Genomic DNA, 25,231 nt, shown 5'->3' on the forward strand with positions numbered 1-25,231 from the left:
GTCAGCTATCTTTGAGAAGAAATGAAAAATAGAAGTGACAACTAACTGTTTTTCTCATATCCTTATAGTATTAAGTAGAAAGAGAAAGGTATTAAGACAAAGTTACAGCTTATTCCAAATGCCTTTAGCTACAGCTAGTATGTTGAGTGTTGTAAGGAGAAACTGCTTCGACTCTCAATTATTTGCTTATGTAGAGCCAACAAAGATATAGTCTATAAAAAGTGAGAATGATAGTCACTGTATAAATATGAGTAACTGAAGCTTTCAAGGAATAAGCAAGTTTGTTTCCCAGGAAACCAGATTACATGGGTGCATGTCAGAGGATTTGCAAGAGCAATGAGGTGAAGTTAAGGACAAGGAGTACTACAGAAACAAGACTGATGAGGTCTACTTTGGAACTTGAACAGAAGGTATGAAAAAGTGGCTGGGGGCAGGGCACATGAAAAGGGGAAGCAGTGGCTACAGAGTACAGAGGTCTGAAGTGGTTCTTAGACTTTTTCATTCTGCATTTTTCATTTGCTTAATATAGGGAGAAGAGTCATGCATACTGGGCAAATAAGAATTGGTACTAGAAAAAAAAATGGGGCTTAAAGAAAACACCCAGAGATGGGTCTCTGAAAATACCTTGCATGATCATGGGAGATCTTCTTTCACGTGAGTTACCTTTCAGACATTAAGAAACTATATAATAAAAAGTGAGAGAAAGTTGTTAGTATAAGTAGGAAGAGGTGCTGCTTCCTTGACTGATAAGACACCTAGATAGGATGGCCATGCATTCTGGCATAAAGAAAATAAAGACAGGAAGAACAGAGATGAGAGGGAGAGTGATTCCGGAGATGGTGAAGTTCCCAGGTAGCATCAAAGTAGGCTAACCATCTAAATCAGCTTACTGGTTGGACTTGGAGCCCTATGACAGAGATACAGGCTCTAAAACCAACATTCAAAGGTGCTACATTGCCAGCGGACACCCTCAGAAACTTGTCTATTGCCCTTACATTAACTCCTATATAATAACACCAGCTGTACCCACAGCCTCCTATGCAAAGTACCCTGCTTTCCTCTTCATTGCTCCTGATATCACACATTGTCTTCACACCTGTTCATTATTTATTGAAATTAAACTTCTATTAAGATGAACATTGACAAACTTTGCCTGGTCACACATTTTTAAAGTGCATATGTATATACTTTGATACACACACACACACACACACAATGTATACATACACATAAAGACAAATTTTTGAATATCCCATAGGAATAAGTCATATGTATCCTTGTCAGGGTCCATATCCAATCATAATAGGCAAACACCATTACGCACTACTAGAATGAAAAACAGAAGGCAGCTCTGACCACTTTCATCTAACACTGTTACTTGAACTTCTTATTTTAGGTTGGTAAGAGTTTTACTAAGAAACAACTTCATTTAAGTAAAAATAAAATAAACTTATTTTAAATGTACAGGGGATGAATTTTGACAAATACATGCACTGAAATAGCAATCCAGACAAGTAATAAAACATTATTATTGCCCCCCAAATTTCTCTAGTACTCTTTGAAATCAGGTTCCCATTTACACTCTGGCTACAGACAACTATGGTACTGATTTCCTTTTAGTAACAATGGGCTATATTTATCTTTCTATCGCATAAAATTGAATCATAAACTATCTTCTATTTTAGACTGGCTCTGTGAATCAGCACAATGACTTTGCTTCATCCATGTTATTGAGTATATCAGCAGTTCACTTCTTATTGCCAAATAGTATAAACAATATTGCATAATATTGATACTAATAGTATAAAATAGTATTCCACTGTATGGATATAACACAATTTGTCCATTAACCTGCTGATATATATTTGGAGTTGAACAAATTTGGAGCTACTATAAATAAAGCTTCTGTGTACATTAGTGTACAAGTCTTTGTGTGAACCTATGTTTTCATTTCTCCTGAGCAAATTTCTACTGTTTGTCAAAGTAATTGTAACATTTGGGTTACCCACAATCAATGTGTAGAGTATCAGTTACATCACATCCTCAGATAGACTTGACATTGTCAGTCTTGTTAATTTTAGCAATTCTAATGGAAATATTGTGGTAACTCGTTATTTTTTTCAAATACCAAGTTTTCCTTTATTAGTGGGAGCTAAATAATGTGTACGCATGAACAAAGAGGAGAATGACAGACATTGGAGACTTGGAAGTGGGGGAGGCGGTAAGAGAGAAATTGATAAGAAATTACATAATGGGTACAATGTACACTATTCAGATGGTAGATACAATAAAGCCAAGACTTCACCACTACACAACATATGCATATAACAACATTGCACTTGCACTAGCTTAAATTTATACAAATTAAAAAAAACTGAGAAGGCAAGGCGTTATCAATTATTTAGCCACCATACCTAAGCCAAACTTTGGAATTTGATGGGACAACTACAGAATTTTGAAATAATTCATTCAAGTTTAGCACAAAGTAAAACTTAAAAGTCATAGACAGACAGTCCCCTGTCTTCATAAGCTTTGTTAAAGCCAAGGCATCTATAACAGTAGAAGCAAATATAGTAATTTCTGTGACTTTCCTAAGATTTTTTAAAAATCCTAACTTGGTAACTTTTTGAATTTGTACTGATTATTTTCCTTTACTGTATATTTTGCATCAGAGAATTCATAATTCAAAGACCTAGAAGAGATATCTCTCTGCATTCTGTCTTACCACATATGCTTTTTTTAAAAAAAAAATTATACTTTAAGTTCCGGGATACAAGTGCAGAACGTGCAGGTTTGTTACACAGGTATATATGTGCCACGGTGGTTTGCTGCACCTATCAACCCGTCATCTACGTTTTAAGCCCTGCGTGCATTAGGTATTTGTCCTAATGCTCTCCCTACATTTCCTCCCATCCTGCAAGAGGCCTGGTGTGAGATACTAATACTTTCTTTGTATTTTTTTGCCTCTTATATTGTTGGGATTTTAGGGCAGATATCTATTTTACAAGAGTGCTTGCCTGAGGAAAGGGAGCCCCAAAAGTGAGATTGGGGAAATTACCGGGAAAATAACAGAATGAATTAAAATGTGTTTATTGAAGCACCACTTTAGGCCCTCTAAACTTTTTCAGGATTCCTTATATAGTAAAATGGTAACGTGAATATAAGAAAACATGAAAGAGTTACACAGTCAAACCACAGGGAAACAGAAAACGAATAGTGTTTAACCTTAACTACCGAAAGCAGTGCAGAAATGGATAATATCACACAGGAAGTAAACATCATGTAAATATCTCTGAGAAATGCAAGAAAAGACTCCTGATAGCATCTGTCTTAGAGACATGTTGTTTCCCACCAAAAGCAATGGGCTTTTAAAAACTCTCTCACTACAATACAGAGAAGTCATTTACAAGTTTTTGCAGCAGACATATTGCAGAATTCAAAGATAGTAAAACCATTATCGACTACAAAAATATGTATGTATAAAAGCAAGTAAAATTTTTTTGACATCAGCAAACATTTTATTTATTTGTATGTCTCTTAAATATCATGCACAAATTGGAAAACTAATAAATATTGATTGAATTAAATTGTGCTGACTTAATCTGGGAATTTTTAAATTAAAGAATGCTTCATATTTAGGTCAAATACCTGAAAAGTTGATGAAAATAATATTGGACTATAAATGTTCATGTACAGGACAAAAATTAATGGAGAAATAATAGACAGTATTAGTTTGTCACAATGACTGGCTTCATTATTTTTCTATTAACAGATAGAAGAAGTTGCCATGGAATTTCCTAAAGGAGATATTGTGTTCCTAGAATTTTTTTGCATAAATTTATGTGATATATGTGCAGTTTTTTAAATGCATAGGTTGTGTGGTGGTCAAGTCAGGGCATTTAGGGTATCCATCAGTCAAATAACATACATCGTACCTGTTATTTAATCTCTTATTATCCTTACTCCTCACAGCCCCTCAATCTTCCAAGTCTCCATTATCTATCACCTAGAATTTTAAAAGATAACTGAAGAGTTTTTGTTCTTTAATGTCAGTTTCATTGTGAAATCTGAAAAACGTAATTGGGAAAGAATATTCCCTAGAAGGTGAAAAATTTGCAGAACATCACAATAGAATATATCAACATATTAAAAATAAAAGCTAATATTTTAATTATGCTAATTTCATTTTAGAATATTTGTCCATTTTAAGACCTGTTATTTAATATCAAATTGGGAAAAGGAACTTGAGAAAGATAAAACCAATAGGAGTATTTTCTGTGGATTAAGTGAGTGAAAGAATGAACAGCCAATCTATACCATTTATCTACTGATGGTAGTAGGGCATGAGTACTCCCAGCTATCTTTAAGATGACTTCTCATTAGGTATGATATTAGCTGTGGGTTTGTCATAGATAGCTCTTATTATTTTGAGATACATCCCATCAATACCTAATTTACTGAGAGTTTTTAGCGTGAAGCGTTGTTGAATTTTGTAAAAGGCCTTTTCTGCATCTATGGGCAAAAACTGGAAGCATTCCCTTTGAAAACTGGCACAAGACAGGTACGCCCTCTCTTGCCACTCCTATTCAACATAGTGTTGGATATGGGCAATCAGACAGGAGAAAGAAATAAAGGGTATTCAATTAGGAAAAGTGGAAGTCAGACTGTCCCTGTTTGCAGATGACATGATTGTATATTTAGAAAACCCCATTTGTCTCAGCCCAAAATCTCCTTAAGCTGATAAGCAACTTCAGCAAAGTCTCAGGATACAAAATCAATGTGCAAAAATCACAAGCATTCTTATACACCAATAACAGACAAACGGAGAGATAAATCTTGAGTGAACTCCCATTCACAATTGCTTCAAAGAGAATAAAATACCTAGGAATCCAACTTACAAGGGATGTGAAGGACCTCTTCAAGGAGAACTACAAACCACTCCTCAATGAAATAAAAGAGGATACAAACAAATGGAAGAACATTCCATGCTCATGGATAGGAAGAATCAATATCATGAAAATGGCCATACTGCCCAAGGTAATTTATAGATTCAATGCCATCCCCATCAAGCTACCAATGACTTTCTTCACAGAATTGGAAAAAACTACTTTAAAGTTCATATGGAACCAAAAAAGAGCCTGCATTGCCAAGTCAATCCTAAGCCAAAAGAATAAAGCTGGAGGCATCATGCTACCTGACTTCAAACTATATTACAAGGCTACAGTAACCAAAACAGCATGGTTCTGGTACCAAAACAGAGATATAGATCAATGGAACAGAACAGAGCCCTCAGAAATAATGCCACATATCTACAACTATCTGATCTTTGACAAACCTGACAAAAACAAGCAATGGGGAAAGGATTCCCTATTTCATAAATGGTGCTGGGAAAACTGGCTAGCCATATGTAGAAAGCTGAAACTGGATCCCTTCCTTACACCTTATACAAAAATTAATTCAAGATGGATTAAAGACTTACATGCTAGACCTGAAATCATAAAAACCCTAGAAGAAAACCTAGGCAATACCATTCAGGACATAGGCATGGGCAAGGACTTCATGTCTAAAACACCAAAAACAATGGCAACAAAAGCCAAAATTGACAAATGGGATCTAAGTAAACTAAAGAGCTTCTGCACAGCAAAAGAAACTACCATCAGAGTGAACAGGCAACCTACAAAATGGGAGAAAATTTTTGCAACCTACTCATCTGACAAAGGGCTAATAACCAGAATCTACAATGAACTCAAACAAATTTACAAGAAAAAAACAAACAACCCCATCAAAAAGTGGGCAAAGGATATGAACAGACACTTCTCAAAAGAAGACATTTATACAGCCAAAAGACACATGAAAAAATGCTCATCATCACTGGCCATCAGAGAAATGCAAATCAAAACCACAATGAGATACCATCTCACACCAGTTAGAATGGTGATCATTAAAAAGTCAGGAAACAACAGGTGCTGGAGAGGATGTGGAGAAATAGGAACACTTTTACACTGTTGGTGGGACTGTAAACTAGTTCAACCATTGTGGAAGTCAGTGTGGCGATTCCTCAGGGATCTAGAACTAGAAATACCATTTGACCCAGCAATCTCATTACTGGGTATATACCCAAAGGATTATAAATCATGCTGCTATAAAGACACATACACACGTATGTTTATTGCAGCACTATTCACAATAGCAAAGACTTGGAACCAAGCCAAATGTCCAACAATGATAGACTGGATTAAGAAAATGTGGCACATATACACCATGGAATACTATGCAGCCATAAAAAATGATGAGTTCCTGTCCTTTGTGGGGACATGGATGAAGCTGGAAACCATCATTCTCAGCAAACTATCGCAAGGACAAAAAACCAAACACCGCATGTTCTCACTCATAGGTGGGAATTGAACAATGAGAACACATGGACACAGGAAGGGGAACATCACACACCTGGGCCTGTTGTGGGGTGGGGGTAGTGGGGAGAGATACCATTAGGAGATATACCTAATGTTAAATGATGAATTAATGGGTGCAGCACACCAACATGGTACATGTATACATATGTAACAAACCTGCACGTTGTGCACATGTACCCTAAAACTTAAAGTATAATAATAAAAAAAGAAAGATGAGTTGTCTATCTCCAAAGTGCTTAAATAACATTCCTCTAAATGAGCTAATAGACTGGGGGAAAACTATTATAAAATGCATTTATTAAGGTAATTTAATACTTCTATACCAATTCATTAGTTTGCTGAGGTTTTCTTTGTTTACTGACATCACTGCCACATGTGAATGAGTTAGGGTCCTTGATATTTTTACTACCCATAGTACTGAATTGCTCAGTAGCAATGTTCCAATCATCAATATTTTACTTAAGAAAAGACAATTGTCACCGAGGCAACTGTTTTCTTAATCTAACAAAAGTTTCTACTTTCTAATGAAAACAAAAAGAGAACCTTACTAATTATTTTTTAATGGCTACTCCCTGTTCTATATAAATTATTCTGTGTGATCATTTTCTCTTTATTATATATTTATGTAAACATACCCACCTTTTGTTAATTTCTATTTTTTCCTATTTTTTATTTCTATGTTTTCAAGAAAAGAAAAAAACAAAGTCTATAAAATTAATATAGTCACATTAAGCGAAGCTAAGTAGATATAGTCTTGAAGGCTTTATATAAGAAACAAATATAGAACTTGGCATTCAGGGTCAAGGATTCAAGCTACCTGAAGAGCATCATGTGGAAGTTTATATGAAAGATTACTTTGCATTTGTTTTGTTTTTGTTTGTTTTTAACCTGGCTTTTTTTTTTTTTTTTTTTTTAGAGATTGCCTAGAGTCAATGTGTGGGAAAGAAAATATAGGCAATTGTCAAAAAAGAATATAAGGAGGGTTAGATTAGCACAGCCTGAAAGTCTACAATTAGAATGTAATGTAAGTCTGAGGAACATCATGAGTGTTTAGGATTATAAAATAAAAATTAAAACATTATAGATCTTGGTCAACCAAAATTAACATACTTGAATATCAGTTTATCTGAAATGAGGTGGTGTAGAAAAAACTGTATACAATAATGTATGTATGACATGTGTGGTTGAGTGATCTGGAAGTTGAATGCCCCTCTATCTCTAGATAACAACGAAGATAGAATTAGCATTCTTAGCAGTAAGAAATTACAGTTTTCTGCTTAATATCTATGGTTTCCTTCCAGAGTTATTAATAGTGGTTTTCACTTGCATTGGGTTGGGTTTTGGCCTTATTGTTTCAGTGTTTTATTTTTCTTTCACATCGTCTCAGATCCTTACTGGAATAACATAAGATAGAAATCTAAGCACACACATGCACATACACACACAGAATGGGTTAATGTTTTAATTAACACATTCCCCATTTTAAAATGTAGTTTCTTGCTACATGCCTATTTAGAAACTCTGTGAGATGAAGTAACATACATCTACATCCGGTAATCAAAGTCACATAGACAAATTTAACAAAGCATCTGCTCTGGTAGATTCATCCTACACACTCAAAAATGGTGTACAATTCACAGTAAAACATGTATGCGAATATAAAACACCTGAATGGAAATAAATCCAGAGTTATCCTGCAGTTGTCAGGTTTCTTAATTTTCTTAAAAAGAAAAAAAAGCCAAGCATATGTTAAAAGAAAAAAAAAGCCCTCAAAAAATGGAGAATGAGCTGAGTTAATGGTGTTTTTTAAAAGTATCCTACTTTCTTGTTGAGAGGGTCAGTCTCTGCAGTTTTGGGAACCATCTGCTTTTGTTTCAGGCCTGTCCTGCATTGCCCATATCTTTCCATTGTTCTTCCAGTTGCTTGGTAGATCCATTTGCAACCACTGCTGAGAGAATGTTGATTATGTTGCCTTTTCTCTCTGATTGCTTTTAAGATTTCCTTGTTTCAGATGTCTTTATGCAGTAATCATGATTTCACTAGGCTGTGTTTGTGTGGACAAGTGTGCTTCAGCCTGCTTAAAGACCAGGCATGCTCCTCTCCATCTAAGGATTTATGTTTTACTGGGTATTTTGAAGTCTTTGTCTTTTGACTTCTATCTTCTTTCCTCTTGTCTCTCCTTTTTGGGACTCTTATTAAGAATATGCTTTAACTATGAGAACACATGGATACACAGAGGGGAACAACACGCACTGGGGCCTACCAGAGGGTAGGGAGGGAGGAGGGAGAGGATCAGGAAAATAACTAATAGGTAAAAGGCTTAAAACCTGGGTGATGAAATAATCTGTACAACAAACCCCCTTGACATACGTTTACCTATGTAATAAACCTGCACATGTACCCCTGAACTTAAGTTAGATAATAATTAAAACGAGTTAAAAACAAAAAGTAACTAAAAATATGGTTAGTTCAATTACCCTATGGATATTCATCTAACTCAGTTGCTGACATTTGTGTCAATGCAAATAAAATCCAAACTTATCTTTAGATGTTACTGTTTGTTTAAATCTCTTATTTCCTTTTCAGACAGTATTCTGGTCTTTCATGATATTTTCTATCCTTCATTTTATCACTTTACTCTTTACTCACTTTATAAATGCTTATTTTTAGATTCTTTCAGATTATTCTATTATCTGGAGATCTAATCCTGCTTTTTATTGTATCCGGTAACTCACCTTAGAGTAAACCATTTCTTTGTGTAGTTTGTAATTTATGTTTTGGAGCTCATTTTCTGTTTTTCTTTGACCTGTTATTTAGAATTGTGTTGTTTAGTTTTCAAGAATTTACATTTTCCTCCTCTCTTTCTGCTATTCATTTCCAGTTTGATTCATTGTAGTCAGAGTGCATGCTCTCTCCAGTTTCAATTCTTTCAGATTTGTTGAGCTTTGTTTAATGGATCTGGATACAGTTTATCTTGAGGTACATAAAAGCACTTGAAAAGAAAGTATATTCTGCTGTTTGGTGGAATGTTTGGAGTGTTCCATAAATGACTAGATACTAGATGTTGTTGAGTTTTCCTATAATGCTGCTGATTTTCTGTCTACTTCTTCTATCAGTTATTGAGAGAGAGAGTTGTTGAAGTCTCCAATTAGAATTGTGGATTTGTTAATTTCTTCTTTGAGTTCTATTAGTTTTTTCTTCACATATTTTTACAGCTCTGTTGATTGGTGCATACAAATTTAGGATTGCTATGACTTCTTGGGTGGATTGACCCTTTTACATTGCATAACATCTCTTTCTGTCCCTGGTAATTTTAGTTGCTCTTAAGTCTATCTTATCCCCATATAAATAGAACTCTGTTTTCCTTTGATTAGTGTTTACATGATACATCTTTTTCTATCCTTTCACTTTCAACTTGCCTGTATTATTATATTTGAAATGAGTTTCTTATAGACAGCATGTCTAGTAGGGCATATTTTTAATCCACTCAGTTAATGTTTGTCTTTTGTCGGTATGCTTATTTGCATTTAATAAAACATTGATATTTTATTTTCTTTCTCTTCATTTTTTTTAACTTTTATTTTAGATTCAGGGGTACATGTGAAGGTTTGTTACATATGTAAACTCATGTCATGAGGGTTTGTTGTACATCAGACCTGGGTGATGATTATTACACTACCCAGGTGTTAAGCCTAGTACCCAATGGTCATATTTTCTGCTCCTCTCCCTCCTCCCACCCTCACCCTCAAGTAGACTCTGGTGTCTGTTGTTTCCTTCTTTGTGTTCATAAGTTATTTTCCTTTAGGAGCTCATTTTCAATGAGGATTATTTCTCCACACACTAGGTTTTCCTGTGAGAATCCAGTCTGGGACTGGTATTTTTGTTAATTTTTCAACTTGGGATCTTTACTATGTATAACCCAGGCTTCTTATGGGAGATTTTTTTTTTAATACTCAGAGACCTAAACAGAAAATTTTTGCCACTTAGTTGGACTGGCAATTGAATTTTTTTACAGTGCCCTTTTCATAGGGGAGAGCCACTTCAGCTTCCAGGCTTTACACAGGATCTCCTTCTTTTCTCATGCAGACCCAAGGCCATAACTTCTGTTCCTACACGAACATTAAAATGCCAGTTTTAATGGGTTTTTAAATAATATCAAAATATAAATATCTAAAATCTAAATATGTAAAATCTACATTTTAGATATTATTTATGTGCTCTCTATTTTCCAAGTCCAACCTGGAAATGCCTGATGACTGATGAGTGATGAGTGATGAGCTTACTATTCTGCCCATCTTTGCCCCTAACACTGGGATTTCCTTTTCTTTCTTTGTTCTCAGCTAGGTATTTTAAAATCATGGTTTGTATTCTCTCTTTTTTGTTGGTAGTGGAAAAGGAGTCCAGGACAATAGTACCCCATGTGACCAAAACTGGAAATTCCGGTTTGCATATCATAGATATTCTTCCAGGTGCTGCTTCTATCCTTAGATATCATTTCTATGACATAGGAATCATTCCTCAGAAGTTTTCTGTTCCTCGTAATCAAAATATTCTTAGTCTCTACTTTTCTGATTCAGATCCAAGCCAACTTTCTTCTGAGAGAGTCAAACAAATCTTAGTTGTTCTCCTCCTTCTACCATATCTGAGCCAGCATTATTATCATGTTTAGAATATTTATGTGTTGTAATGGATGTGTGTGTGATGGATGAGAGGGAATGCTTGCTTTCTTCTCTTTTTTCACTATTGTGGATTCATTTAAAGTTGTAGCATCCAATCATATACACATGGCCCAAACAATTATGTCATGCCAGGTATTTTTACTACAGAAAGTGTTATTTTGGAACTCTCTTTCCTGGAAAATTTCACTGTACCTTAGCCTATGTCAAAATGTCAAAAAACTGCTAAAGAAACTCAGGCCAGATTTTATAATCTCACATCAGAAAGCATGCATGTTTTGTGTGCTGCTGAATAATGATTTTAGCAGAAACTGACAAGTTGTCCCTCAAACCCATTTCTCTTTCTTTCTGATATCCAGCTACATTTCTTGGTCTTCTTTGCAGATAGGTGTGCTCATGTGACTATGCTCTGGCCTATGGAGAGTGAATAGCCAATAAAAATCTCATGCATAATTCTCTATCCCTCAACTCTGCCATCAGTAGTCAATAAGACCATGTCTAGGACAGCCTTGGAAGACATATATTGAAAATAATAAAGGTTCCTGAAATTCCTGTACCTACATCATTGCCTACTTCACTCCCACATAACTCCTCACTCCTCACCATCAACAGGATTGAAGAGAAGCTAAAAATAAATTTCTGTTTTTAGTTACTGAGCTATCAGAGTTTACTTCTTGTAGCAGCTAATCATAGCTAATTCAATTGCAGAAATTTAAAGAACCCTTTCTTATTTTCTGCCATGCATCTTCTTTCCTCCAATAATATTGCTTTTATATGGGCGACTAGTTCACTGCTTCTGAGAGTTACTACCAACAAAATCTTAATAAAATTTACCTCTTACATAAGGATATTATAGGAATTATTGCAGCATTTTTACAAATCTTTCAGGGGTTCTTGGAGCCAAGTCTTCATATAAAGTAAAATAATGATACTAATTTTACTATATACTATAATTTTAATGAATACTGTGTAATATAAATATGAAACAATAATTTGTAGAAACAATTGTTTCCCTGAAGGAAACATATGAATATATCAGAATATTATCGTGAAATAAGAAAGCACTTGGTACAATCTATCCATTTTTTCTTTTTTATATTTATAAAGCTAAAACACTTAGAAAATACTAATGATTTTCTCTAGTAATAAAGAAAACTAATTTTTTAAATCCAATTTACTTTTTTAAAATCCAAACTGTACTTTTTATAAAAGCAGCAGAGAATTTCTGGCTCTGATTTGTATCTTCTGTTCATCCACTAAAAGTAGATAACTTCCTACCCTGACCTGCTCTTCTAAGTCCAAAATTGTTTCCCTTTACTGGAATATATTTTCCAAGGGCCAATGGACTCCCATACTCAGGATTTTTATTCTCATCATAATACCAAGGCCGCTATCATGAAACATTTATCATGGTAAAGTCTATCTTCTAAACAGCTCTGAAAAATATAAAATGTATTGTTTATACAACCAAAGCAATGTTTTGTTTTTAGGCCTTTGTTCTTATTGGTCTCTTATTTATGAAGCATTTATTTATTTTTTTCTGTCTGTCAAAAGGTTTATCATATCTAAGGTACCATACTATGCTATAAAACCTCTCAATTGGATTTTATTTCTCCTTCTGCTCTCTCCAAAGAGCCTCAAATCATAAAGTGACCTATCTTCCCACTTATGTAACTATAAGGACCATATAGAAATTGGAAATAGCTGCCATGGTAGTGTGTGAACACAAGGTCCACATGAATAACACACAGTCCAGGACCACCATGGGTGGCCACACTAGCTGTGCAATGCATACCTTTGTGGGAACAATCCATGATTGTAATGTAGATTGGAGTGGTATAGCACACAACTGCAAGTTGTGGCTCTGCCCAGCACCATATTGTTTGGTTGTTTGATGTTCTGAGTTTCATTGTCCTTCACTGATTCCATGGATATTACTGGAATCTTTTTTCTCTATTATCTAGAAGTACTACATCTCTGAAAATATCTCTAATAAACCACTCTTTGACTATAATTCCTGTTGGGTCTTTTTCTAGTTTTCTCACCCCTTTATTCCTACAAAGTCTGTTTTTATATCTTTCAAGACATTTATTCTCTTTTCCCCTTCATTTTTACCCTTTATTAGCCCACATTCCAGGCCTCATTTTCTTTCCTACACAGCCTAGACTCTTTATTCAATCATTGCAGGAACATTGTCACAGATACTCCCCACCAACTCCCTAGTTCTCTATGTTTTTACATTATATACTCCGCAACTCGCTAAACCTGGGCCAAGTTTCTCTAGCCAGCCTTGGAAATGTAGCAAGACGCATCTCGACCAAAAAAAAAAACAAAAAAACAAAAAAACAAAAAAAACACACACACACACACACACACACAAATAGACCAAATAGGCAATTTTTGCTGTCCGGGGAATGTCCAAGAGGAAGACAAGCACAGGACACTCATTAACATCACAGAAAAGAGGAACCCAAGTGAGCTATAAATTCATCAAAGATGGTAAGCTCAGGTAAGGAAAATCCAGCAGCTATGCGGATTGATGCCACTGCCCATGTATGGGCTCTGGCCTTCTCTGGGCTTTCAGTAAATGCAGCAATCTTTTCTTTGTTCATGGATAACTCTTATCTCCATTCCCCTCAGCATTATTTCAAACAGGTCCACTCTTCTCAAAATTAACCCCTGCCAGATCTCCTCTCAGCAGGCATCATTACTTCCTACTTCACAGAGAAAATAGAGGTCATCACCCATACATTCCCTCAATTCATCACTCCAAATCCAATAAATTAATCTATTTTTGCACCACGCTGTCTCATTTGCAGTTTTATAGAAAGGCTTGTCCTGCCTCATATTCAAAACTAAACTCCCCAATTATGCATTGCTCTCAACCTCTCCCACCTCCTTCAGAAACCTTGCCTCATTAACAATCACCTCATTTTATCATACTACAATCTGTCCTTCTCTACTAGCTTCTTCCCTTCTGCATAAAAATCTAGCCAGGTATTACCACTCCTTAAAAGCAACAACAAAAAAAATCTAAATCATTTGCTGACCTCTAATATGCCCTATTATCCCTCATTCTTATTCTATCAATTTTCTTTTAAGAAAAAAAAAAGTCTATTTTCTCATCTACTTCTTCTCTTAAGTCATGGTAACCACTCTTGCTCACACTCTGGACCTGGACTGTTTGTTATCAACTCAGTACTACTATCACTCTTATCAAAGCCTGTGAAATTCATTCCTCACAACCTGGTTCTAGGTTAAAATTTATCAATGTGAGATATTCAGATGAGAACTTGCCTGAAGTGAAGCAGAAGCCACATTCCCTAGAAGCAATTGACATATGAGAGAGATATAGAGAGGTGAGTCACCATGGCTTTCAGAGAAGCTCTTGAGACCCATCTTCTTCACAAACTGAGACAGTTGCTGGGAGCTTCCCACAGATTGTTGAGGACATCTACCAGTTTCTAGCAGCTTTTAAAATGATTTGCTTTAGTTTATTAGACTGTGATCTTCAGGGTCAATTTCTCCTACTGTTGGGCAACAGCTTCCCTTATCCTCAGTGGCAAATTCCCTGAGCTTCATTCCATCAGTCTTCCAACAAGTTCTGTAAACCCCTAATTTTACATTAAACTCTCTACGTATAGAGTACATGGAATGGTGTATTTACCCTGAGTACTGAAGAAATATACCCATGGAATGGTGTATTTACCCTGAGGGCTGAGGAAATATACCCAACACCTTCCTGAATCTATTCTAACAAATATCACCTGTAATCTCCAAATTTCTCAAACCCAATGCATTTTCATCCTTATTTGATCTCTCTGAAACTGTTGCCAACATTGATAACTGCTTTCTTGCAACATCTTATCCTTTTGGAACTTTGAGACTTGTAGAAGAGATATTTACAGATATAATAATATTATATATATGATATGCTATAAAATGAGTAATCTTCTGTAAATGTAGAGAGAAAAAAGCAACCAGGTGTATCTTGGGAAATTATTATAAAGCATTCCCACTGAACTATAGCTCCATAAATGCCCTGACCATTTCGAACTCTTCTGGGGCCTTACATGGGCATCTTGGACAGCAGTAACATATATAAGGACTTTTTCTTCTTTCTCTATATTTCTTTTATCCTCTAGGAAATAACTACACTATTTCCACAAACAAATACTCTGGATAGTCTATCCTGCATATCTTTATGTTTCTAACTGAGGCCATAAGTGAGAAACAAAAGCAAAAGAAGAATAATTTTATATAAGCAAAGAAAAGCCACTTTTGAAATTATCCCTCCAGAGTTTACAGGCTCAAAAGGCAAGACTTACACAAACAAATATCTAAAATCTGAACTCAAATGCAAAGATCTTGACATTTTTCACCATTACAGTACAGTGCTATACAGAGTAGTGTCAATTGTATACCAGTATATATAGAATGGTTATTCACAACTACTCCTTAAAGAAAAAGCAATTAAATCAATAATTGATATTATATATATATATATATATATGTCTATATATATATATATATATATGTCTATATATATATATATATATGTCTATATATATATGTCAAAAATAGTCTTATTAGATTGTATACTTTAGAAAGTCAAGGGCAAGATTCTCAACTACCTCGTAAGATGTTAATAAGTCAAACAGTTAACAATGAATTTAGTGTGTAAGATTCACTCTTCCATAATATTTTTGACTACAGTGACATTCCACACTCTGTCAGCATGGGTAGAAAATTTCTATAATTTTGTAAAACTAGGTCAACATCATATAGTTACATTCTACATAATCCAGCCCATTCTGTCGATATCTTAACTCTAGCAGAAATGTGAATTCTAAAATACTGTGAAATCAAACACAAGTTTCTAAAATAGAAACAATGAGAAAATGTCCTATACCTCCAAATTAAATTCAGATGTGGAAAATCTGTGTTTGATACAATAGATTTAAATAAAATATACTACAGATGAAATAAACAAGGATTTAGGTATGATAGTCATTTTAGTTGATTACATCATAGTCTGAATTTAGACAGTCTATGATGTTTCCATGGAAACTGTTTTTGCTTAAATGTAGTTTTAGATATTCTTTAAGTACAAATTAAATTAATTGAAGGCAGAGATACAATGTTGGAAACATTTAGGAGCCTAAAGAACAGTTTATTCTACTTACCTAGAAGAATTAAGAGGAGTAATGGCAAAGGAAAAAAATACATAAACTAGTTCCCTAAGATGAACAATCAAACAGAATATTTTCAAACTAAACTGTACATACTTTGAAATTCATTTAGAATATGAACTCCAATACTAGCCAACCTAACTTCAACATGAAGTTTATATTCCAGTGGAAATGGAATCATGAACTCTCTAATGCCTATTTCTAGTTTTTAAAGCTCAAGTGGAAAAATTAATCTTCCTTGAGATTACCTGGCAAATAGTAGTGACACAATAAGTATGTGCTGCCTAAATGAATACATGAATGAAATAAGCTTAGAATGCAGTAATGCTATCGTGACAATGTTGGGATGCAATGAGGCCCAATATATAACATTCTTTTTTTTTCTGAACCAGCTAAAAAACAAAAGAGAGAAAGGGAAATAGAAAACTTAATACAGATATTGCTGTTAATGCTAAACAATCTGATAAGAGAAAATGAGACTTATCTGTAGCAAGCAGAATTTATGTTTGTGAACCTAGATTTTAACAGACACCAACCTAGACACAGGCAGCACTAAGTCACCATAGACCTTCTTATATGAGATTCTGCTTTTGTCAGCCTTACACATAAAAAAGCAGAGCAGACTGCATGCTCTCTGTAAATAGGTTTGGACCCAAAGAGAAATACAAAAAAGAAATGACTGAGCTAGCATATTCAACTTATTCCTCCAAAATACAGCAATCACATAACCCACTCAGTCCCTCCAGAAAAAAAGCATGTTATGATGGGGAGATAGGCCATGATTGTTATGTGAAAGGAATTGTTCACATGGCAAGAATCATTAGGATTGTGAAAAAAGTGTCCTCTCCATAGCAATTATGGGAAGACTTGTGTTATCTGATAATCAATTAAGCATATACTATCATGAAATTTAAGATGTTAAATCAGAACACTTTCCATCATTCATTCATTTAACAAGCATCTATTGAAACCTACTAGGTACAGAAATTCTTGTAGATGTTGGAGTTAAGAGGATGAAGAAAGTAGACATGGTTTACATCCTCATAACATTTATAACCTACAAGGCAAACGTCAATTGAATAAACAATTTTAGTTCAAAATCATAAGAGAGTAGTCTGGATGTTCCTAGGTGAAATATTTAACCTTGTAAAACTGAAGAATTCTACACAAATAACTTTGAAGCAGATGGCCAAAGCATTGGTAAGGATTAGCCAGACAAAGAAACTAAGAAAGTGTTTCTCAGATAAACAGGCAGTAAGCGAACAGGCCTAGAGCAAAGTGTGAGACTGGTGTAGTCAGTAAAACAAAATAATTTCAGGAAAGCTAAAATATACTGTGAGGGTGAGAGAGATCCTGTTAAAGAGCATGCAGTAAAGAGAAATGCCCAGGTTCACATCTTAGAAAAATCACTCTGGCTTCAGAGAGGAAAAAAACTTTACAAAATGAGGTTAGAGACATTACTTGCAGTATTTAAGTTAAAATAATTGCAGTATTTAAAATGAAAGAAATTGGTAGCTTGAGGACTACACATAAAAATAAATAGAAAACTTGTATTTAAGAAATATTTCTCAGGTAGAAAAACCAAGATTTGGTTATTTGGGAGACATATCCAATATGAGGATGAAAGAAAGGAAGATAGTAAATTTCTGCTTTGAAGAGCTAAGTAGATGCCCGTGTCATTCAATAAAATAGGAACCCAGGCAAATGAGATGGCAAACTGACAAGGATATGTTGGTACAATTTTTATTCAGTTCTTTGTAGAATACCCAAATAGAAATGTCCAGTAGGCACTTGATTATATGGGCCTGAAGCTTAGGGAAATGAGTTCAATTGAAAATAGATATTGGAAACCAACAGCATAGAAATGGTGCCTGAAGCTATAACCATTTTTAAGTGGATTAAACTTGGTGGTATGCAATTAGCAAACAGCGTTACTACTTGAGAATCACTTTCTTCACACTAAGTCTGTAAGATTTATCTTCATTATTTACAACATCTAAAATTTTTGCTAGGAGCTGTGAACTTTGAATCACTTTCATTTATACAAGGAATTACATTTCTTGAAGTTGCAAGTATAAAATCTGCATATGTGGACTTTTTTCTATAACACCTTAAATATACTATATTATAGACGTGAACCCAACCCAAATAATATCTATACTTCTGGTGCTACATTGAGAGTGAGAAAGAGAGATTATTGAATAACTATTGAGGTCTATCATAAAAGAATTCTGTCCCAGATGTTGGAAAAAGAAAGAAAAGGAATGATTTAGCATATTCTTTAAATAACTGTAGAAAGAAATCTTAAGATCTTCAGAGAAAAATAGCACCAATATCTTGGTTTGCTTGTGCATTTTCAAATAACAATAACTTTGAAAAATATTACTTCATTGCAAAGAAAAAATTAATGAATAACTATCTAAAAATACCTTAAATGAGGTTCAGATGTTTAAATTTCAGGATGTTTTCATAGACATTAAATTTGGAGTTCTAGAAACTTATGTGAAATATTTATTAAAACAAGTATAAGCAAGCTTAAGAACACTAACAGGAAAAGAGAGAAAAAAAATGCATCATGTGAAATAGCTCCAGCTGTTAAAACACTTGTTCAATATTGATGGAATGTCCGTGGTGTATAAGGTGTTAAACTTAACACATCCACAGCAGTTATTGATCCCCAGGACTTTCATTTTACTATGTATATAAACAAACAAGTGCAACATCTATGTAATTTGACTTTTAAAACCTAACATTTTATTTTTGCCTTATTTCCAACTCAATTTTGTTCTATAGACCAGCAATGCCTAAAGAACTGTAATCTTAATTTTGTCCATTATATTTTCTGATTTTGATTTTTTTTTCAGAATGCTGGCCACCATAACACTAAAAGTAGGCTGTGTCACATTTAGGAGGTCATATTTGAAAAAAAGAAGCCCCATCTCACCTCCCAACCCCCTCCTCTAGCTATAACTGAGACTATCAAATGTGGAATCCTAACCTATTCGAAAGTAGCTATTTCATAAGCCAAGAATCCATAACCTAGACACATACACTCACATACACATGCAATAAATGAGCAGGTTCGGTTATACTGTCTACAGAAACAAAACTGCAAAATAGAAGGAGAATGAGGTAGTGAGAACTAAGGCTGAAAAATCTATATATAAAGAGAAACCCCAAGTAGAGGCCATGAGGATCTTCAAAGTCAGGATTAGGATAAATCACAAAATTTATTTAGAAGCTGTGAGATAATGTTTTTGCCCTGCTTTTTGTTTTTAATATATGCAGATTAGAAGGAGCCTATTGGTAATAGGAGTAGAAGCAAACAGACACACTGAGAAAGACAGCATGGGGAGAGTTATCGGAAGGATACCCAGTACTCTTACTACTAGGCTCCCAGTACTACAGTGGATCCGAACTTATCTTCTGGGTATCTAATTGTTCTGAGGTTCCTGTGACGTTTAATGTCTCTTGTCTAGGACCACATTGAATGTTTGTAAGGGCTGTCCTTTTGCAGAAGTGTCAGGACCAGGCTGGGAGACAGCAGTGATACACAGCCTACATTTAGTGTTATGGTGGCGTGGACAAAGGAGCACCTTTCAGGATTCATGAATTTGGTCCACGTGCCTTCTAATTTGCACACTTATCACCCCAACTGAAATGTCAGAATAAGCTTTTCTTCTGCTGATTGAATCTGTTTCACAAAGTCCAAAGAAACTAACATAGATAGCAAGTTACAAGAATAAAAAGTGGGATCTGGTTGTTCATCACTAAGATTACTGCAAGTGCTATTATCTACTATTTTATTTAAATTTTGTGTAATGTATTCAGGCCTTAGACCTTGTGATTTCACTCTGTTTTCATATACATGACTTAATCCTGTTTTGATCTGCTCATTCCAGGAAGCATGAGATTTCTAGATTTGTATTTTAAACTTACATTAATTGCAAGACTGTCATTCTCTGAATTATGAATGGTAGATACAAATATAATAATCTAATCACTACCTTAAATTGCATATAATCTAACAAAGAGACAAAAATAAATAATTATAATACAGTGGAGGTTATGACAGAGATAAACACACAGTATAATGGAAGCATATAAGATTGGTTTCAAGTCCAAATTTGGGGTTTAGGGATCAGAAAAAGCTTTCTGGAGAAGATAATATGTAAGTTGAGCTTCAAAGAAGAGGAGATAGCCAGGTAATAAAAAGGTCAGGAAGGCATTCTAGGCAAGAGAATAGCTGTGAAAAAGAATCAATTATTGAGAGAAAGCAGAGCTTTACATCAGTGGTGATCAAGCATTTTACAATTTACAGGCCAATTGGGTGGAGTCCAAGACCTACAGCCCTTCTTTTTCTTTTTTCTTTTTCTTTTTAACTGTTTTGGTATTTTATTCTTTTTTTTTTTTTAACTGGTATTTTAGGTTCAGGGTTAGATGTGCAGGTTTGTTATACAGGTATACTTGTGACTTGGGAGTTTGGTGTACAGATTATTTTGTCACCTGGGTACTAAGCATAGTACTCAATTTTTTTTTCTTTTTTCTTTTTATTATACTTTACGTTTTAGGGTACATGTGCACAATGTGCAGGTTAGTTACATATGTATACGTGTGCCATGTTGGTGTGCTGCACCCATTAACTCGTCATTTACAGCCCTTCTAAAACAACTATTTCCTCTCCTTAGGGAAAAAAGTGATTAAAAAATTTAAAAGATATGAAATAAATAAGTTTCAGTAAACTTTTAATGTTAACATGTATTCTTTTTATTAATATGATAATATTACTGCATATATTTATATGTTTAAATAATAATCTACACATTTAAAATTAACTCTGTAAATCGTTATACTTATTTTAGCAATATAATGCCAGTTTTTTTAATTTTGCTTTTTTGTACAGGCAGTACATGCACATGATTGAAAAAAAAAGAAGAAAAAAAAATTAAGTTTTACTCCCTGTCTCCCAATATCCCCACAGAGGTTACATATATTTAGTTTCCTGTGTGTCCTTCCAAGGGTATTATATGCATTCACAAACAGATATATTTCCACACATATATACAGTTGGTGAACTTTTCTTTCCCAAAATTAAAATATATTTTGGAGAGCTTTCCAGACTACTTTAATGAGTGTTATGCTTTTTTAATTTACTATTTTTAACTTTTTACTTGAATTAATTTTAGACATGGAAAAGTTGTGAAACTACAAGAGTTTTCTTGTATCTCTCACCACATTTTCCACAATGTTAACATCTTACATAACTATACTGTAATTACGAAAAACAAGAAATAAAGATTGTTACATTATCAATTAAACCATAGATATTATTTCAATTTCAGCAAATTTTCCACTCATGTCTCTATTCCAGGATCTTATTCAGAATCCTACCTTGCACTGAATGGTTACTTCCCCTTCTGCCTTCCAGTCTGTAACAGCTCCTTAGTCTTTCCTTGTTTTTTATTCATTTCATATTTGAAGAATACTAATCAGTTATTTTGTAGAATTTCCCTCAATATGGCTTTGTCTAATGTTTTCTCACGCTTAGAATATTTCACATTTCTTGCATGATTGGCACAAAATATGATGCCTCTAGGGACACTTTAAGTAGTTCATTGCAGGGCTGAGACAGAGAAAATCCTAGGTAACACTGGAATATCTGGTGGTGTGGGAAAGTAAGAAAATGCTCAGAAGAAGATGGGAGCATTTTGAAAGAACACAGGAGCCAGTCGGACTTAATGACCTAAAGACCTAATGGTCTTAATGACCAATGCTGAATGGATATGAGCAGCAAATAATGATGGTATTGAATTTTAATCTATAAAATAAAATCATAAGTATATATTTACATAAATAATTGAGTAAGTAAATAAATGGGAAAAAGAATGGCTCTTGCAAGAAAATTCAACTTAATGAATTAAAAGGAGAAAATAAAAAATCAACATTAGGCGAACACCACACAATTTTCTGTACCAAACTGTTGCAGACAACATCTACAAATTTGGCAAAAAATTGTGGACAAAATTTGTGGACAAAAGTTTGAGAAACAGAATTTACCTATTCATAAAGTATCTCCTACTAGCAACTATTAATTACAAAAGAAAAAATAACTTTACAGTGAAGAAAGTTGACATGCGCTAACTTAATCATTTGATAATGATAAACATCACATAATAAAAAGTGAGCTGCTTGATATGCATAGAGAAGAACACGCTATTATAAATTAATTTTAATAAATAACTCATAAGGTTATAAATTTGAAAATATAGTTACTTTTTAAATTCAAATCTATACAGTGAAAGTCTCTCTATATATATATTAATGGCATTATATATACATTATTTCCAACATACGCAAGTATATCTAGAATAGTTTTCCAAGTGAATTGCTAGATCAAAATATATAAGTACTGTTATGTTAATATTTATAACCAAGTTGCCTTAAATACAGGTTACACAAATGTATATGCCAAGGTCTCAAAAGCAGAAAGTATTACTGAGCATTAGAACTTTTACTAATTTTATGGTTGATACATAATATTTCAGTATGGTTTTAATTTATATGTCTTACCATATGTTTATGAGTCACTTGTACTCCCTTACCCATACATGTTTGTTCACATCTATTGTCCATTTTTTAATGCAGTAATTGGTCTTTTTTATTTCTATCAATTTATGGGAGTTATTTATATATTAGGAAGATGAGACTTTTGTCTGCAATACGGCTTGCAGACATTGTATCACTTAGAAAATCATTTAAATAGCGCATATTCACAGGCAGTGCATTCTGATGAAGAATTATTGTACAAATAAATTTAGAGCATATAAACTATGTATATACACTAGCTTTAGTAATAAAATATAAATATTTCACACATAAACTATAGTTTAAACTCTCTTAGAAATTGGTGTTTAAAAAACCATCGGCCATATAGATTTGTTCTACTGCACCTTTGATATAGTTTGGATGTTATGTCTAAATCTCATGTTAAATTGTAATTCCCAGTGTTGAAGGTGGGGCCTGGTGGGAGGTGACTGGATCACAGGGGCAGATTTCTCATGAATACTTCAGACATGCCCTTTGTGCTGTCCTTGTGATAGTGAGTTCTTGTGAGATCTAGCTACGTAAGTATGTGGCATCTTCCCCCTCTCACTCTCTTGCTCCTGTTCTCACCATGTGAAGTGCCTCCTTCCACTTCACCTTCCACCATGAGTAAAAGCTCCCTGAAGCCTCCCCAGAAGCTGAGCCAATGCCAGTGCCATGCTTGTACAGCCTGTAGAAAATGAGCCAATTAAACCTCTTTTCTTTGTAAATTACCCTGTCTCTGGTATTCCTTTATAGAAATGCAAAAATGGCCTAAGACAACCCTGTAGGTTAAATAAAATAATCCACAGGAATACTAAAACTTACAATAAAGACAATCCAAGTCAGAATCACAGCAGCTGGAAAACCACTACTAACTCACAACAAAGACAACCCACTAATAGAACCTACTTCTCAAAATGTGGACCTTCTATCTGAATGTGCACATGAGTAGTGGTAACAAGACTTTGTAATAAAACACTAAATTACAGTCTTTAGTAAACCCTAGAGTATATTAATTTTATTTCATAAATATCATATTTTAGTTCCCATAGAGGTCAAAGTAAATATTGTTTAAAATAGAATTTATGGTATTATATGTTATTTGAAAATAAGAAATGAAGAAAGAACTTGCGTGTTTAGAACAAGAACTAAAAAAAGAACCATCTCTTGCAGCTCATCACTGCACAGAGTTCAGGAATGGAGAATGGGGAAGAATGGAGACATGTGTCTGGGAGATATACAGGGCTCAGGACATGAAATGCTTTATGGTGATGCTAAAGAGTTTGGATTTCATCTTAGAGGCAAAGAGAGCCATTGATACATTTTAAGAAGAATGGAAATATGCTTAAGAGTTTTGGATTATAACTCCTTTTATACCTGCCTCAGTGCAAATAAAAAGAGTATGGAAGCATACTTGAAAATACAGAGATTGGTCAGAAGGCTCTAGTAGACTCAGGGAGAGATATAACAAGTGTCTGAACTAAGGCCATGTCAATGGTAGTAGAACATAGAAAAAAGAAGGTCATATGATAGAGGCAGAATTGAAAGGTATTCATCACAAACTAGATGGGGGAAAGTCAAAGATGACTTGAAGCATTGTGTAGTAGGTAACCAAAACCAAGATGGACTATACAAGATGAAGAGTATATTATGCAGTGTGACATTCAATTTGCCTTTGAGACAGCCAAGTGGATAATTCCAATGGATCTTTGCTGTGTCATTCAGGAGTCAGACCTGGGCTAGTAATTAGATGTTTATATCATCAATATGGAGGATAAATTGATTCAACTAGACTTTCCAGAAACTTGACAGTGAAGACATGTTAGGAGATAGGGCAGCAATTCTGGGAGACCAGATATCAACTTAGTTTTGAGGAAAAGTGGAGAAGGGAAGATAAAATGAATATCAACTCACTCATAGCTCTCATGTCACCCCCTAAATGAAGGCTTCTGTATTAGTTTGTTTTCATGCCACTAATAAAGACATACCAAAGATTGGGAAGAAAAAGAGATTTAACTGGACTTACAGTTCCACATGGCTAGGGGGTCCTCAGAATCCTGGCAGGAGGTGAAAGGCATTTCTTACATGGTGGTGGCAAGAGAAAATGAGGAGGAAGCAAATGCAGAAACCCCTGATAAACCCATCAGATCTCAGGAGACTTATTCACTGCCATGAGAATAGCATAGGAAAGACCAGCCCCCATGATTCAATTACCTCCCCCTGGGTCCCTCCCACAACACATAGGAATTCTGGGAGATAAAATTCAAGTTGAGAGTTGGGTGGGGACAAAGAGCCAAACCATATCATTCTGCCCCTGGCCCATATAAATCTCATCTCACATTTCAAAACCAATCATGCCTCCCCA

The 25,231-nt window shown here is 34.5% G+C and overlaps 1 annotated feature.

Annotated features, from left to right (window-relative positions):
• Positions 264-353: an enhancer, noted in NCBI's record as "active region_21769". NCBI's record gives its function as "activates an Ori minimal core promoter by ATAC-STARR-seq in GM12878 lymphoblastoid cells {active_cell/tissue: GM12878}" and the evidence as "EXISTENCE:reporter gene assay evidence [ECO:0000049][PMID:35858748]".

This window comes from Homo sapiens, chromosome 4 (assembly GCF_000001405.40).
Source record: "Homo sapiens chromosome 4, GRCh38.p14 Primary Assembly".
NCBI lineage: Eukaryota > Metazoa > Chordata > Mammalia > Primates > Hominidae > Homo > Homo sapiens.